The sequence below is a fragment of the Homo sapiens genome, chromosome 20 (genome assembly GCF_000001405.40).
Source record: "Homo sapiens chromosome 20, GRCh38.p14 Primary Assembly".
Taxonomy (NCBI): Eukaryota; Metazoa; Chordata; class Mammalia; order Primates; family Hominidae; genus Homo; species Homo sapiens.
The window spans coordinates 11,604,848-11,621,689 of NC_000020.11; the positions used below are offsets into that span (position 1 = coordinate 11,604,848).

The 16,842-nt window shown below is 40.4% G+C and overlaps 2 pseudogenes, besides 2 other annotated features; one reads left to right on the top strand and one right to left on the bottom strand.

Moving 5' to 3' along the window:
• Positions 1–3,402: 3,402 nt before the first annotated feature.
• On the bottom strand, positions 3,403–4,273 carry LIN28AP3 (LIN28A pseudogene 3; annotated as a pseudogene).
• Positions 3,656–4,157: an enhancer, noted in NCBI's record as "H3K4me1 hESC enhancer chr20:11589151-11589652 (GRCh37/hg19 assembly coordinates)". NCBI's record gives its function as "activates a minimal SCP1, AML or CMV promoter by ChIP-STARR-seq in naive H9 embryonic stem cells {active_cell/tissue: H9 hESC(naive)}" and the evidence as "EXISTENCE:reporter gene assay evidence [ECO:0000049][PMID:30033119]".
• Positions 4,158–4,657: an enhancer, noted in NCBI's record as "H3K4me1 hESC enhancer chr20:11589653-11590152 (GRCh37/hg19 assembly coordinates)". NCBI's record gives its function as "activates a minimal SCP1, AML or CMV promoter by ChIP-STARR-seq in naive H9 embryonic stem cells {active_cell/tissue: H9 hESC(naive)}" and the evidence as "EXISTENCE:reporter gene assay evidence [ECO:0000049][PMID:30033119]".
• On the top strand, positions 16,269–16,628 carry PGAM3P (phosphoglycerate mutase 3, pseudogene; annotated as a pseudogene).

Consider the following 16,842-nt stretch of genomic DNA (forward strand, 5'->3'; position numbering starts at 1 on the left):
CTTCTGCTCACATTTTGCCAACCAAATATAGGTCATTCTTAGATTCTGGAGAATATGGCAAGTGTAATCTAACCATAATTTTTGAAGAAACACAATGTTTGTTAACAACCTTCTTTTTTTTTTTCATTCCCAGTAAGTCTTTATTTATTCACTGTATTTTCCCAGGGAAAGGAGAAGGGAAGGGAAGAGTCAGCATGTGTTACAAAATGATTAGAAAATGGGAAAGGAAGTACCCAGTACAGCAAATTCAACCACAAATAAATACACCCCAGTGATGGGGTCACCAAAGCCCAAAGGGGCTCAGTCTCCTGCAGTTCAGGAATGAGGGGAAGGGATCAGGAAAAGAACAGACAACCTCAGGCTTTCCTACCCTCCCTCCCAATAAACGCAAAATTTCACACAAAGCTTTGGTTTCTAGCAGCAAACATGGAGTTACATTCATTTGTCTCCTATTAAACAATCTTGCGGCCACTTTGACAAAAGTTTCTTGCACTTGCATAACAATTCCTGAGTGCCTTGGATATACATTCGTATTCCCTTTCTTGGCCTCCTGACCCCACTTTCCACATGGAAGGCCCCCAGTTGCTTCTCTCTACTTTAGGATTAAAGATTAACTAGGTTTGATCCATCCAAAGTACAGCAGTGTCTTAAGAGTTTGGCATGGATACATCAGGAAATGGTCTTGACTCAGGAAGTTGGGAACAAGCGATGGAGGGTTCCTAGCTTCTTCAGGATGTTTGCATAAATCATTTAAGAGTTGTGGAGACACTCCGAGCATTAAATGTGTATGTGTCTGGGTGTGTAGGTTTTCTTTTGGGGATGAACAGAAAACAGGGCAGGGTAGGAGACAAGTTTTTAGGACAGAAGATGTGGTCTAATAGGTAATGGGGAAGAGGAACACAAAATAAAGGATGGTTCAAGATCTCCACTTTAATAAGAGGGCACCCCAAACTAATGTTTGAGATCTTTTTGCCTGGCGCAGAACCTTCTGTCAAAGATGGTCTCAATACAAAAAGAAGTTATAAGTAAACAAGTAAACAAGAAGTAAACAAAACCCCAAAAGAACATGGAAAAAGACCAATGCATTGTATTTACATAAAGTAGGCCCTCTAGCAATCACCAACTGGGTGAAGTCCTACAAAGCCCAGACAAATACAATAACTGGGGGAGTGGGGAGGGCAGCATTACATAAAGTAGGCCCCCTAGCGATCACCAACTCGGTGAAGTCCTACAAAGCCCAGACAAATACAATAACTGGGGGAGTGGGGAGGGCAGCATTTAGGGAAGATAAGAACCCATGATCAGACACACACCACCCAGTGCGGTCCATTTCATTTGTCCCGTTTCAACACAGTGAGGTGGGTTTGTGGTGATCTCAGAGCATGTAAACGAAACCCTTTTCTCCTTTAGCTACCGATACTATTAATCACTACTGTAGCAAGCAGGGCATGGGCTCCAGGCACCACAAAGAAGCCCTCGCATCAGGAGATCGAGACCTTCTTAGCTAACATGGTGAAACCTCGTTTCTATTAAAAAGAATACAAAAAATTAGCCGGGCGTGGTGGCAGGCGCCTGTAGTCCCAGCTACCCGGAAGGCAGAGCTTGCAGTGAGCCGAGATTGCGCCACTGCACTCCAGCCTGGGCGACAGAGCAAGACTCTGTCTCAAAAAAAAAAAAAAAAAAAAGAAGCACTCGCTTATGGGTTTCCCTGGAACCCCCAAATTTTGAAAGGTTAAGGATTTTAGACCTTGCTTCATATACCCAGCCCTCGACAGCACAGGATAAGTACAGAGGTATTGGTCTTTAAACTTATCCCTACCAACTCACATTTTTTTCCAAACACACATACCCTCTGGAACATGGTAGACCTAATCTAGTGAAGAATGGATCTGGGATGTAAAGCATGTCCTGTGCCCTAGGATTAGACAAGCCTCACCTAATCTTGGCTTCCTCTCTGGGCCTTTCACCTGGCCCAACCTCTCCTAATCTCTCTGCACCACCATTTCCTGTTTAGACTAATTTCCAATCTTCCAGTAGTTGGCTATCGAGTCATGAGGCAACCCAGTTAAAACCTAGTCTCCCATAAAACATTTTCAAGGCAGAGGGGGTTTCAAGAGGATATTATGGCAGAAAAGCCAGCTCTCATTAGCAAAAATGAGGTAGTTCAATAGGCCAGGCACTCCAAATAGTTGCTCTCCCTGGTTCCAAAAATGACAAAAAGTATTTCTGCTGTGCAAACCTGGAGTTGCTGCCGGCTTGTTCCTGAGACCGCTCATGTACCTGAGAACACAGTGCAGGAAATGAGGGCCTTAGGTTAAAATATACAAAAATACAAAAGCAGAATATTTACATTAAGGAAAAAAACATTAAAATGCACAAGATGACGTCAGTCGCACACAGCTAATGCAGTTGGCATCCTGCAGAAAGTGAGACCTGAGGTGCTGTATCCAAGGGCGCAAATAAATAAAATCACATTGGCCCAGAATGGGGTGGGGGTGAGCATAGGAGCAGCAGGTTTGCAGCTGTTCTCCCAAACACCCTTCTTGCCATCATCTGTAGCCATTGCTTGGGAGAGTTCCCAGGACCCTAACCCAAAAGTGGGTATAAGGATACAAGATGTGAAAACAAAACAAAAACACTGCCTTATTCCTGAGAGATTCCCTCCCACAGAATGTAGTGGCTTGGCTCCATGGATCTGGTCTTGTACTTAATCACTTCACTCTGGCGTGGGAATTATTACTATATATTCTTCTTTAAAAGTGTCGGAGGTGTTTGAACCAGAGTAACTCCATCTTGAATAGGGGCTGGCTAAAATAAGGCTGGGACCTGTTGCGCTGCATTCCCAAGAGGTTAAGGCATTCTTAGCCACAGGATGAGATACAACATACAATTCATAAAGACCTTGCTGATAAAACAGGTTGCAGTAAAGAAGCCGGCCATGTACCAGCAAAACCAAGATGGCGATGAGAGTGACCTCTGGTTGTCCTCACAGCTACACTCCCACCAGCACCATGACAGTTTACAAATGCCACGCCAACGTCAGGAAGTTACCCTGTATGGTCTAAAAAGGGGAGGCAGGAATAATCCACCCCTCGTTTAGCATATAATCAAGAAACGACCATAAAAACGGGCAACCAGTAGCCCTCAGGGGCTGCTCTGCCTATGGAGCAGCCATTCGTTATTCCTTTCCTTTCTTAATAAACGTGCTTTCACGGACTCACCCTGAATTCTTTCTTGCGCCATGTCCAAGAACCTTCTCTTAGGGTCTGGATCGGGACCTCTTTCCGGTAACAAAGGAAAACAACTTCCCTATCTAGGCCATTTTCAAAAGCTGGAAATTCCCGCTGCCATCCCCCACCGCCCCCAGAAGCCCTCACTTGCATATGGACAGAGCATGGTTGGAGTTCCTTTGCCTCACCTTTTCCCCCCACCTAGAGGGAAGAAGGGGCGATGGTGTGAACCCCAGCCTGAGATACATGGCAGTGCCAACTGGCCCAAATGCACCCTATTCCCACTTTCTCCACTTTGCCTGTTCCATGAAACTTCCTGCTCTTGGGAAACAGGAAGCTTCACCCTTTGTGGCTCAATTCTTGGAACCCCAGAATCAGGGCAGGGCTGTGGATTTCTTCTTCTTCCCTTGGAGAGTAGGTTGGCTTGCCCTGTGCGCTAGGGGCCTGCTGGGCCTTCAGCAGACACGAGGCTACCACATGGCTGATGCTCTGGCAGAAGTGGCACTTCTTGGGCTGGGGTGGCAGCTTGCATTCCTTAGCATGATGGTCTAGACCTCCACAGTTGTAGTACCCGTCTCCTTTTGATGTGCGTTTCTGCATGTTCTTCTCCTTTGGCCGCCTCTCACTCCCAATGCAGAACACCCCACCAGGTCCGGTGACACAGGTAGTTTCCACACCCTTGGGTGACTCCTCCACTGTTTCGTCCTCCTTCAGGCTCCAGGAAGCCCTCCGTGTGCAGCTTACTCTGGTACACAAAGACGTCCACTGGGGGATCGAGCGCGACCCTGGCTAGGGCGGTCATGGACAGGAAGACAAACCCCAAGCCCACGTTGAACCGCTTACAGATGCCCGCATCGTGCAGCAGCTGAGGCTTGTCCGCCGGCGGGGCCGTGTCCTCCGGCACCTCTTTAGGCGCCTCCTCTGCCACCTTAGCGCAGCCACCTGCTAACTGCTGGTTGGACACGGAGCCCAGGGTCGTCAGCTGAGCCCGCAGCCCTGGGTCCCTGGTTGGGCGGCTGCTGGCCCCAGAGAAGTCCGAAGGCTTCAACCTTCTTCACTACCTATGTTTTCAACGGCTGTGTAAAAGAATGCATATACTTCACCTTTAAAGGGTTTACTTGGTGGAAATAAAAAAGGAATTCATAAATTTTAAAGTTTCCGCTTACATAACAGCAGCTAGATCTGGTAGGGAGTCGGAGCATGACAATTCCATGGTATGCCTGCTGCAGAGAGGGCCCAGGGTAAGGTACCGCTTCCCCACCTGGGAACACACAGAAAGATTTCTAGGGCAGTATAATTATTTCTAGAATGAGAAATCATTCCAAGAAAATAAAGAGGTTGAAAACACCTGTCTGGCTTCCCTTAGGGGAGATCACAGATGGTTAAAACGGGAAGTAGAGAAAGGAAATTATCTATATATATGTGTATATAATCATTGGAGAACCTGAAAATATCAGGAGATAGATGAGTAGATTCATTTCATAGATGCAGCCTTTAGCGGGAGGGCACTTCACTAAAAGAAGCCCCAGCCCCATGTTCTCCAAACATGCATTGGGAAAATAGCATTTGCACAGGGTACTTCTGAAGAAGATCTGTTTTCTCACACTCTTCAAGGAGGCATTTCGAGATTTCAGAAATCCTTCTGTGCCTCAGAAGGGAGGGGTGGACTCACAGATGTGTGGCAATGGCCTGAGTATGTAATGAAGAAGCCACAGTGTGCAGACTTAGAGCAGAGGCAGAATGGTGGACCCTGAGATATTATCTGTGGATACCTGGAAAGCAAGTCAGAAGGAAAGGCAGGACCAGTCATGCGTCAGCAGTCACCAGTCCAGGGAACAGAAGAGACACGTCACCAGTGGCAACAGCCATTGATGATCTGAGGACAGTGAACATCTTTATTGGTTCTGTGGAACTTCACAAACCTCCTGCCCTGATGCGCCATCTCCAGGGAGGGTAAAGAGAGGCTGGAAAAACAAAAAAGGCTGAATTATCCAAAATCAGGAATTTAAGCCAGAAGTAAGTGAAAGTTGGCAACTGGAAGAATGAGTCCACAGGAGGAATATTAGGACTGTTATAGAATATAAAGTTTATTTTATGTGTAGAACTCATTATCATTTTATATAAATGTATAATCCAATGACAAATACCTTCAAATATTTAGCAAACTTGGGTCTAGTTCCATGGAAAAGTTGAGCATTTATGAAAGTTAAGAAATATTTAAGAAATTAAAAATCTTTCAAGTGTTTCTTCTTTTTTTTTTTTTTTTTTTTTTTTGAGACGGAGTCTCACTCTGTAGCCCAGGCTGGAGTGTAGTGGTGCGACCTCGGCTCACTGCAACCTCTGCCTCCTGGGTTCAAGCAATTCTCCTGCCTCAGCCTCCTGAGTAGCTGGGACTACAGGTGCACACCACGGCTAATTTCTTTTGTATTTTAGTAGAGACAGGCTTGCCCAGGCCAGTCTCGAACTCCTGAGCTCAGGCAATCCACCTGCCTCAGCCTCCCAAAGTGCTAGGATTACAGGCATGCGCCACCATGCCCAGCCAAGTGTTCTTTAAAAATTGTGCTTTGTGACAACTCTAAAGATAAGCCTATTCTAGAAATCTCTCCATTGAATGCTTATTTTAATTTCAATAAACTTGGGATAATAGTGTAATAAAGTGTCATATGGTTATTCTTCATCTTTAATAATTATTAATACTCTACTATTTATGCTTCATTTTTCTTTCTTTTCATTTTTTCTTTTTCTTTCTCCACCTTCCTTTTTAATTTCCTCCTTCCTTCTTTCTTTCCTTTCTTCCTTCCTTTTTTTCCTGAAGTATCTTAAAATACAAATACACTCAATAGATGTTTTCTAAGTAAATAAATGACACACATGTGTGGCTTTAAATGTCAATTAAGAAGTTATTGTGGGCCAGTTAAAATTACAAGTTGTTAACTCTTTCCCCTTTAGAAGTTTTGAGTCATGAAGACAGGAAACAGATAAACAATTATAATTTAGTGAACTAAACACAATAATAAGAGTATGAACTGGGATAGTATGTAAATGAAAGGATATAAATTAATAGGAAGAGCATAATAGGAAGAAAAAAGATGATAGAATATGATGGAAGAAAGGCTACTACGGGTGGAAGGAAGAGCATTGGGCACCAGGAACACTTGTCTGTCCACGGTATGTAGGAGGATAGCGTGAACAAGGGCAGTAATTCATCTGAAAAAAATTCAGGTTTTTACTTCCAGATTTTCAGGAAAGGTAAAAATGAGAATCAAACCTATTAAACACATTGTGCCAGAGACCAATAGTCCCCTTTTTGATCCTCTCTTCACCTACCCCTTGAGGGAGGCACTTAAGGTAGTTTGCATGCATGTGGAAATTACAAACATATGTACATGTGAACATATGCATACAATATATAGACCAATATGTATATGCTATGTATATTTATATGGTGTATCCATAATGTAAGATATATGTGTGTATATATGTGTGTACAAGTTTCATTTGTGTATGGAAATAAAACAACCTTGGATGGGAAAAAAAAAAAAAGACGAAGAGGCATGAGAGGAGAGCATGTTACCTTCAGAAACTGCAAGTGATGAAGCCTCAATGGGCCACAGATGAGATTTATGGAGAAGTGGTGGAAGACGAGCCTAGGGAAAGCCTATAAAGGAACAGGCCTTTATATCCTTGTATATATGTTTTAAATCCTTAGATTTAGGGGGAGTTTTTCAGTTTTAAGCTGAAAGGAATGGATCAGATTTAGTTTTGGAAAAATCAATGTGAAGGATAAACACAACCTGGTATAAGGTAAAGACTAATGAGATAGACAAAATTGGCAAGAGTGATAAAAAATGAAACAGAAAGGTTACAACTAAAACATATTAGGGGTAAAAGAAATATATAACTGAGCTCCAGGTAGGATTTGAAAAGAAAAATAAATTATAGTGAACAACTCGAAGCCAGTGCTATGAAAAATCAAATAGTGAAACATTTTTAGGCAAAAGATAACATCAAAACTAACGAGAAACATGACAGTTTTATAATATTTCAATAAAGAAATTTAATAGTTAGGCCAGGCGCGTTGGCTCGTGCCTGTAATCCCAGCACTTTGGGAGGCCGAGGCGGGCAGATCATGAGGTCAGGAGATCGAGACTATCCTGGCTAACACGGTGAAACCCCGTCTCTACTAAAAAATACAAAAAAATTAGCCAGGCATGATGGCGGGCGCCTGTAGCCCCACCTACTTGGGAGGCTGAGGCAGGAGAATGGCGTGAACCCGGGAGATGGAGGTTGCAGTGAGCCAAGACCGCGCCACTGCACTCCAGCCTGGCCGACAGAGCGAGACTCTGTCTCAAAAAAAAAAAAAAAAAAAATGAAATTTAATAGTTAAAAAATTCAGCCCCCCCCAAACAAAACAAAAACATAAAAAACCTAGTTTCATAGTTCTAGCAGATTGTTTCATAAGCAAATACTAACAGATATTCAAAAATCAGTAATTTTTTTACTATTCAAGAAATCACATCCTCTCCCTTTCCCTCCCTTCCTCCTTCCCTCTCTCCCTCCTTTCTTCTTTCCCTCCTCTCTTCTTTCCTTCCTTCTTTTCCCTCTTTTATTCTTTTCCTCTTTATATATTTTATTTTTAAGGGTGACATAATCTTGATATCCAAATTTATAGATGATAGTACACGAAAAAAAGCTTCCTTAGAGCATCACTGATGGCCATAGGTACAAAAAATCCAAATAGAATATAAGCAAGAAAATCCAGCTTCTTAATACATGGACACATATACACACATATATAAACACCATTAGGAAAAGTTGGGTCTATTCTAGGAAAGCAAAAATATTTTCATTAGAAAAATCTATTAATGTAATTTGGTATAAACTGATTAAAAGGAAAAAATTGTAATTTTCAACAGAGGCAGAAAAATCATTTAATAAACCCATATCCATTAAAAATAAATAGTTCCAAATTAAGAATAGAAAAAACCTGTTAAAACCTGATTGAGCAAATTGCATTCTTAAAAATAAATGATAGGAATATTTTCTTTGAAATCTGCAACAAAATTAAGACACTCACTGTGAGTGTTACTTTTAGTATTGTATAAGAGTTTCTAAAAGGAGTTCATTAAGATGAGAAAAGGGAATTTTAAAATATAAGTATTGTAAATAAATAAGATACTCATTATTAAAAAATGTTATGACTATTATAATTGTCAACATAAGAAACAAAACCAATAGAGTTAATAAAGAGTTTAAGGAATATTGCTAAGTACAAAACCTTTATTTAAAAATGTATCTCTAGATATCAGGAATTAATACTTAGAAAACACTTTTTTAAAGGTATCATACAAAATGTTCGTAAATATATAAAAGTATAATACAGTATTCAAAATCATAAAAGAGAACATCAGTAATTGAGAGATAAACCAAGTTCATGGATGGGAACACTCAAACTCAATATTATAAAAATGTCAGTTCTCTCAAAATTAATCCATAAATTCAATGCAATCCAATCAAAATACCAACAGAGTTATTAAGAAACTTGAAAATTTATTTTAAAATTCATAAGGAAGAGTAAAGGGCTCAGACTAGTCAAGATAATTGAAGAAGAACAGTGTAGGGGTTCTTAGTCTACAAAATAACAAACATTATTATAAAAGTGCTACGATTAAGAGACTGTAATACTGGTTTAAGAATAGACAAAGAGACAAAGAATTCAAACAGAGAACCCAGAAACTGAATCACAAAACCAGGTCAACTTGATTTATGACAAAGACAAAGATTAGTGAAGAAAGGATATGCTGGTCAATAAAAGGCACTGGGGAAATTATCATCCACTGAAAACAAATAGTATTCCTACCACAAACCATATGAAAAAAATTGCAGTTGAATGAAATGTTTCAATGTTGAAGGCAGAAAATCTCTTTATGACTTTGGTGTATTGGGAGGATTCATTTTATAATACACAAATAGGGAAAAAAGAGAAGATAAATCCAATCTCACATTGTATTAAAAACTTTTGTGCATTAAAAGACACGATTTAAAAAGTGTAATGACAACCTACAGATGTAGAGAAAAGGTTTGCAAGGTATACACACAACGAAGGAGGAGTACAATACCTTCTTTATGCATGTAGAAAAGTTTTCTATCTCTGTCATAACAAATTACCATGAATTTGTCCGCTTAAAGAACGCAAATTAATTATCTTACAGTTCTGTAGTCAGACACAGGACACAGGCCTTGCTAGGCTAAAATCAAGGTGTTCTATTAGAATGGCTTTTATCAAAAAAAGAAAAATATTGGCAAGGATATGGAGAAAAGGAAACCTTTGTACATTGTTGGTGGGAATGTAAATTATTACAGCAATTATGGAAAATAATACAGATGTTTCTCAAAAAATTAAAAATACACTTAACATATGATCAAGTAATCCCGCTCCTAGGTACATACCCAAAGGAAATGAATTCAGTATATTGAAGAGATATCTGCACTGCCATGTTTATTGCAGTATTAGTCACAGTAGCCAAGATATGGAGTCAACCTAAGTGTCATCAAGTAATGAATGGATAAAGAAAATGTAGTGTGTGCATATTATACACATACACATATACATACACAGTGGAATACTATTCACCCAGCCTTTAAAAATAAGAAAATCCTGTAGTTTGCAATAACGTGGATGTACCTGGAGGACATTATGCTAAGTGAAATAAGCCAGGCACAGGAAGGAAAATATTGCATGATCCCTTATATATGAACTCTAAAAAAGTTGAACTCATAGGAGTAGAGAGTAAAATGGTGGTTACCAGAGACTGGAGGTTGGGGATTTAGGAAAAGGTGAGATGTAAGTGAGCGAGTACAAAGTTTTGGTGAGACAGGTGGAATTTGTTCTGGAGATACATTGTACAGCACAGTGACTGCAGTTTATAATAATGTGCTCAAGATTTGAAAATTGCTAAGAGAATACATTTTAAATGGTCTCACCACAAAAATGATAAGTATGTGAACTGGTGGATATTTTAATTAGATTGATTTAATCATTCCACAATGTATGCATAGATCAAAACTTCATGTCATACCCCATAAATATATATAATTAAATAAAATGAAATAAAATTAAGGTGCTGTCAGGGCTACATGCCTTTTTAGAAACTCTAGCAGAGATCTCTTCCTTTGCTTATTAAGGTCATTGACAGAATTCAGTTCCTTGTATTGTAGGATTGAGATGACCATTTCCTTGCTGGCTATTAGCTGACGGCTGTCTTCAGCTTCTGAAAGTCATCCACGTTCCTACCTCCAGCTTCAGAGCCAACAACGATGGGTTAAGTTCCTCTCATGCTTCGAATCTCTTCTTCTTCCATCTATCTCATCTCTCTGACATCTTTTTTTTTTTTTTTTTTTTTTTTTGAGCCGGAAGGTCTGGGTTCCATTTGTTGACAGCAGTTTATACACATGGATTTCCTTCCCATAGTTATTTCCTTCCCAGCACAGACACAGAGCCCTTGAGAAGGGCAGTCTCTGAACAAGGGAGCCAGGAACACAGGTAAGACACATCCTTGGCAGGCACGTTCAGTCCCAGCAGGATGCAATCCTTCAAGTTGGAATTCCAGTGGGTATTTGAGAGGGACCAAGGTTGGGGGTAGAGAGGGAGTCTTCAACAGGACTCACATCTCAGTCCAGGCCTCCTCTCTCACTATCTGAGTCCATCCAAGTTTTAGGACCGTGGGGGACAACAGTCAGGCCCTCCCACCTCAACAGGGCAGATCCTTCAATCTGTGCCAAGTTCACACACGCCTGCTTCCACTGGTCGCACAGTTAAAGAGAATCAGCCTTATGGTCTCTGACCTTAAGAGGTCTTCTGCTTTTAAGGACTCATGTAATTACTTTGGGCCCACTTGGATAATTCAGGATAATATCCTTATCTCAAAGTTCTTTAATTAATCACAGCTGCAAATTCACTTTTTCTATGTAGGGTAACATATGCAAAGGCTATTATTTTGCCTGTGGGTATATCCATCTCTACCTATGCGTGTATCTTAAGATGAATATAATTAAAATTACCCAGTTTTTAAACATGGGCTCAAAGATATGAGCAAGGAATTTAAAGAAGTTCAAATTGAAAGACGTATTAAAAGATTCTTCATATCACTAGTAAACAGTGTGAATAAAAATTAAAACTGTGTATCATTTTACCAGACAACAGCTGATGCTGGTAAAGCTGTGAATCAGTGGAAACTCTCACATTATTCTGATAGAACTTAAATGTAGAAAACCACTTAGGAGAGCAATTTCATAATTCTGGTTAAGTTAATAATTCTTACCCCTCAATCCAGTGACTGCAGCTTCATGTAAGCATCCCTGAGATAGTCTCATGCACAGCCAGAAAGGAGACAGGAACAAAGATTATTACTGCAACATGATTTGTAATATAAAACTAAGAGAAATAAATGTCCATCAATGTAACATTGTCTAATTATTTTGTTTCATTTCATTTCATTTTAAAGCTGTGAAAATACGTGATCTAGAAATATACTCACGTAGATAAAAGAATCTCCGAAGATATTAAGTGAAAAAAATCAAACTACAGAATATACTCAGAGCAACATAAATTCTATAAGACTTGCAAGCACACAAAACAAAAACATATACTGTTTTGTGATACAATCATATGTAGTAAAAATTATGAAGATATGTGTGGAAGTTCTTACACGCACACGGGAGTCAAGAATTTAAAATTCAGGAAAACAGTTTCAAGTGGGGGATCAAGGATAGATTAGGAGAATGCAGCTCCATTAGTACACATTTTAAAGTAAAAGATGAATAGATAAGTACTTGTTATTTTTAAATACTTCATCAACATAAAGAATTTTATAGCTTTATAAGAAAAACATCACTAGGATTGAGATGAAGGAAAATTTGGAATGGGCAGGTAGAGATGCCATAAAGCTAGAATGGCTATTGCAACAATTACATGAAAGATGCTAAGATGCCAAAGCAACATGGTGGTGAAAAAATACAAATGAAAAGATAGATCCCAAATATATTTTGAGATTTAATATGCAAAACCAATTTAACAGAAAGGCTTTAATAGTAGATTCTAGGATGCATTCAACTTTTTGATTCTGGTGACTTTGTGAATATTGGCACCATTGACCAAGATGTATGGGGAGGAACAGGTTGCTAGGGAAGATAATAATTTGAGTCTACACTTTGTTGGCAATACTTGAGATGAAATTAAGGTGACATTGGGTTAGCTACTCAGTAATACCCAAATACAGTCTTCATGTAATCATCCCTCCCTAAGAGGGCCTCAAGAAAAATACATGTACAAATGGCATAGTAGTAAATAATACTCTCTGGTCCATATTTGAAGCAAAACTCTAAAAGACTGGACATGACTCGAACTCCTGTGATCCAGACTTGAAGTCATGGCCAAACTTCAAGTTGTAACAGTGGACTTTATTACTTCAAATGAGAGGAAAAATTAATTCAGAGTCTCCCAGCATAGGAATCGGAACACAGGTTTCAATGCAGGGCTACAGGTTTATAGAGTAAATACAGTGGAAACAACAACAAAATGTCGGCAATGTCTAGGCAAAAAGGTGCATCGGGCAGAAGCTTCATCGTTTGGGAGAAAAAGAAAGTCCCCGGGACTAGCAATTTTCTAGTCTAGGGAAAAAACAGTGTGGTCCATAGTGTAGCCCTTGCCATTTAGTTGCATCCATACCCGTCAGCCCCCACCTCTGCATTTTCAAGGCTCCTTACTGAAAACAAGGCTTCTCTGCCTGAGGATATTTTGTGTTTTTGTTTGTTTGTTTGTTTGTTTTTCTCTGACCAGCGAGCCTGCTCCACTGGCATAAAAGGGAAGATACAACAGGTCCCAGAAGCAGCCATTACTGTTGAGTACAGGAAGTTGATGTATATGTACCGCTTACTCAATCCTTGGTCAGGAGCACTCTAAGGCTTGTACGTCACTGTCTCCTAGAGTTTCCAATGCAGCTCCAGTTGCCTGCAGTGCTGACTTTCTTGATAACACATCCACTTTCCTGTATTGACTTTCTTCTCTGTCCTATCTCCTGTTCTTACTCTCCTGGTGCATGTCCCAACTAAACAACGTGCACTCAAGCTTCATGGTTTGCTCCTAGGGAAACTCAAATGAAGAGAGCAAGACATTCAAAATGGCAGTGGGTAATGGAATAGAGAGGGTGAATCCCGGCAGCCGTCTCCCTCAGATTTTGTCTAGTTAGCTGGCGAAAGATGGCTGAAGACTCCCAGCATAGCTGGTACTCCAGTGCACAAGCTCCTGGCATGTCATCGGTATTGCACCCCAACACCAACACTGACAGAGACCTTCCCAAGGGTGTTCCATCTGTGTTGTTCTGTGACAACACCATAGGTGGCTGGTAAAGTTTGCTTAGTAAAACAGAATAACACATTAAATTTTTATTGCCATTACTCTGGCTAAAAGAATTACTACCGTGTAGGAAGAATTTCTGCTTGCGGAAATACTGTTAATTGACAGCTGGGAAAAATTGTGGTGATAAAAGTTAATTAACTTTACCAGGTTTCTCTGGATTTTACAATACCTGCCGTTTTTAAAGGCCACTGCCAGCAATCTTGGCAAAACAAATGGAAGAACTCTGCAATAGTAACTCAAACTTCCTATTTCCTTTTTTTTTTTTTTTTTTTTTTTGAGACGGAGTCTCGCTCTGTTGCCCAGGCTGGACTGCGGGCTGCAGTGGCGCAATCTCGGCTCACAGCAAGCTCCGCTTCCCGGGTTCACGCCATTCTCCTGCCTCAGCCTCCCGAGTAGCTGGGACTACAGGCGCCCGCCACCGCGCCTGGCTAATTTTTTGTATTTTTAGTAGAGACGGGGTTTCACCTTGTTAGCCAGGATGGTCTCAATCTCCTGACCTCATGATCCACCTGCCTCGGCCTCCCAAAGTGCTGGGATTACAGGCGTGAGCCACCGCGCCCGGCCCAAACTTCCTATTTCACAGCAAAGTCTGAAGTGAACCAGAGGCACTAGCAGGAAAAACATTCAAACAGTTCAAACAGCTCTTGGGAGAAATTGACCATCACCAGCTTTCTTTCAGATAGCTGGAGCTTCCAGTTCCGTTTTGCAAAATATAATGCATGTATGACTTGTATCAGAACCCCTAGTGATTTAAAAATCACTTCTAAAAATATGCGAACTTGGGGTCAACCTCAGATTTACTGACTTTGAATTTACTGACATAGAGCTCAAGACTACATTTTTAGCCGGCTCATAAGGTAATCCTTCTATAATCTCGAGGTGAGAATCATTTATACTTCCTTCAGTGCTACCAATTTGAGCTGTATTTAAGTTAGCAAGCATTATTTTTAAAATAAGAAAATTAATGTGTTTTCAACCATTCACATATCAATATTGAATTTGAACTAATGGGAGCTGAGTTGCTCTAAAGCAATGGTTATCAAACTGCATTCAGAATATGCAAAAGCAAGCGTATGTTTGATTCAAATTCTGTTTTTAAAATATTTTAAAGCTGTATTTTAACAACCCACATATTCAAATGTGTCACAGCCCAAATTTTTAACACATTAGAGACAACCAACTTAAGCCATGTTACCACTTCAACTAGGCTTTGTGCTGACTTCTAATAGTTTTCCACTATACCTCTGCATCTATTGAACTTGGAAGAAGGTCATAGACAAGAAAGATTTAAATTCTGCTCCGATGGCTTTTTGCAGGAGTAAGCATTTCTGCACACATAAAATTGTACACCTGAGTTCCAAACAGAAGCTCATACTCATCACGTTCAATTATGTGCCAGGAAAGTCCATGAATAGCAGTCTCTGCGCCCAGAACATGAAATGATTCAGTAAGTGAACACAGAATACATTTAAGCATGCTGATGTCAGAGTTTTAATCTTTATAAATGTTAAGTGTTTGGTCTATGATTTATACTCATACATTTTTCGTAGTATTTCAGGTAAAGGTGATAGGATTACTCAAAACAAGAAATGGATCAAGGGTTAAAGAAAGAAAAAAGCCGAAAGAACTGTGCTGCTAGAATGGAGAGATTGAGCAGGCACAAGAAAAATTGACACACTGTGCTATGTAAATAGCAACTGGTTTTTCAGCCAAAGGGGGTCCCACTGGGGAGAGTATGAAACAAAAGTCTTGTGAAAATTCTTGGGATGAGTCTCTCAGAGACAGTAGAGCACAAGAATAATTATTAGGCATGTGGCTTCACCTTTATAAGGCAAAAGTGCCCAAGTGCTCCTGTGTTTTATGGAGTGATATGTTTCCACATTTTCTGTATCCCTTTCCAACTTACAATGCCATATTTAAAGCAAACATAGTGAGTAGAAAAATAAGGATCTTGGTTTCTTTCAGCATAAAAATTACAGGGCTTTATATAAAAACTGTATGCAAGCGAAGTTTAGATCCAAAGATTAAAATACATATATAGATTTGACATTTTTAAGAATAACGTACACTATGGCATCATTCAAAGGTGTCACTAAATGTGAATAAACAGAAGGGCAGGCTACTCTGGTGCAGAGTCATGCAGAAACAAAATGCCGTCAGTACCTTTGCCTGATGAGAACAGGGAGCATGCAACGGCCTTTATCCAACATTTGATCAATGAGTTTGTAATCATTTTAAATTTAATTTGATTGAACACAAAAAGGACTGACCCATGGCCATCTTGACTTTATTTTTTAAGCGATCTGAGTATTTTTTGAGGGTGTGTTTTTGAAGATAAACATCAAGAAGACTTACGTTAGAAACACTGGAAATTTGGGAGGGGGATGTATTGCTAAATGTTTATATCCATTTTCAAAGTGCCATCGTATAATTTGGTTTCTATATGTCAGCGTACCCAGACTGAAGGGGAAGAAGAAAAGGCACAAAATATGACAGGAGTAGAGAATTTCATTAAAACATTGCTCCCAGCCAGCACCACGTCCCCAGCTTGCAACCATGGCTGCCTACACACTGGTGCAGATCCAGCATGGCCAGAGTGCCTGGAACCTGGGGAACCGCTTGGGCCATAAGGAGTGAAGTGCAGCAGGCAGGCATTGCAAGATGCTGGCTATGAGTTTGACATCTGCTGCACCTTGGTGCAGAAGAGAGTGATCTGAACCATCTGAACAGTGCTGGATGCGATTGACTAGACATGGTGGCTTGTAGCAAGGACTTGGCGCCTCAGCACTATGGGGGAACTGACTAACCTCAATAAAGCAGAAGCTGCTGCCAAGCATGGTGAGGCCCAGGAAAAGGTCTCAAGCCCTCCTATGATGTCCCACCCCCTCTCATGGAGCCTGACCATCTCTTCCATAGCAATGTCAATGAGGACTCCAGGTATGCAGATTTCACCGAAGATCAGCTACCCTCCTGTGAGAATCTGCACCCACTCCCTTCATACGCTGTAGTCAGAATAGCACCTCTGGGGCATAGGTTCTCAGTCCAAGCCAAAAGAAATCTCCCCTTACCCAAGAGAATTGAAAGGTTATAACTCAGGTTTCTGCCAGTGCTATGTTTACTAAAGACCTGCTTGAGTAGGAAACAGGAAGGAATCATGTTAAGGCATGACCAATGAGGAGAATCAAGAGAGCCTAT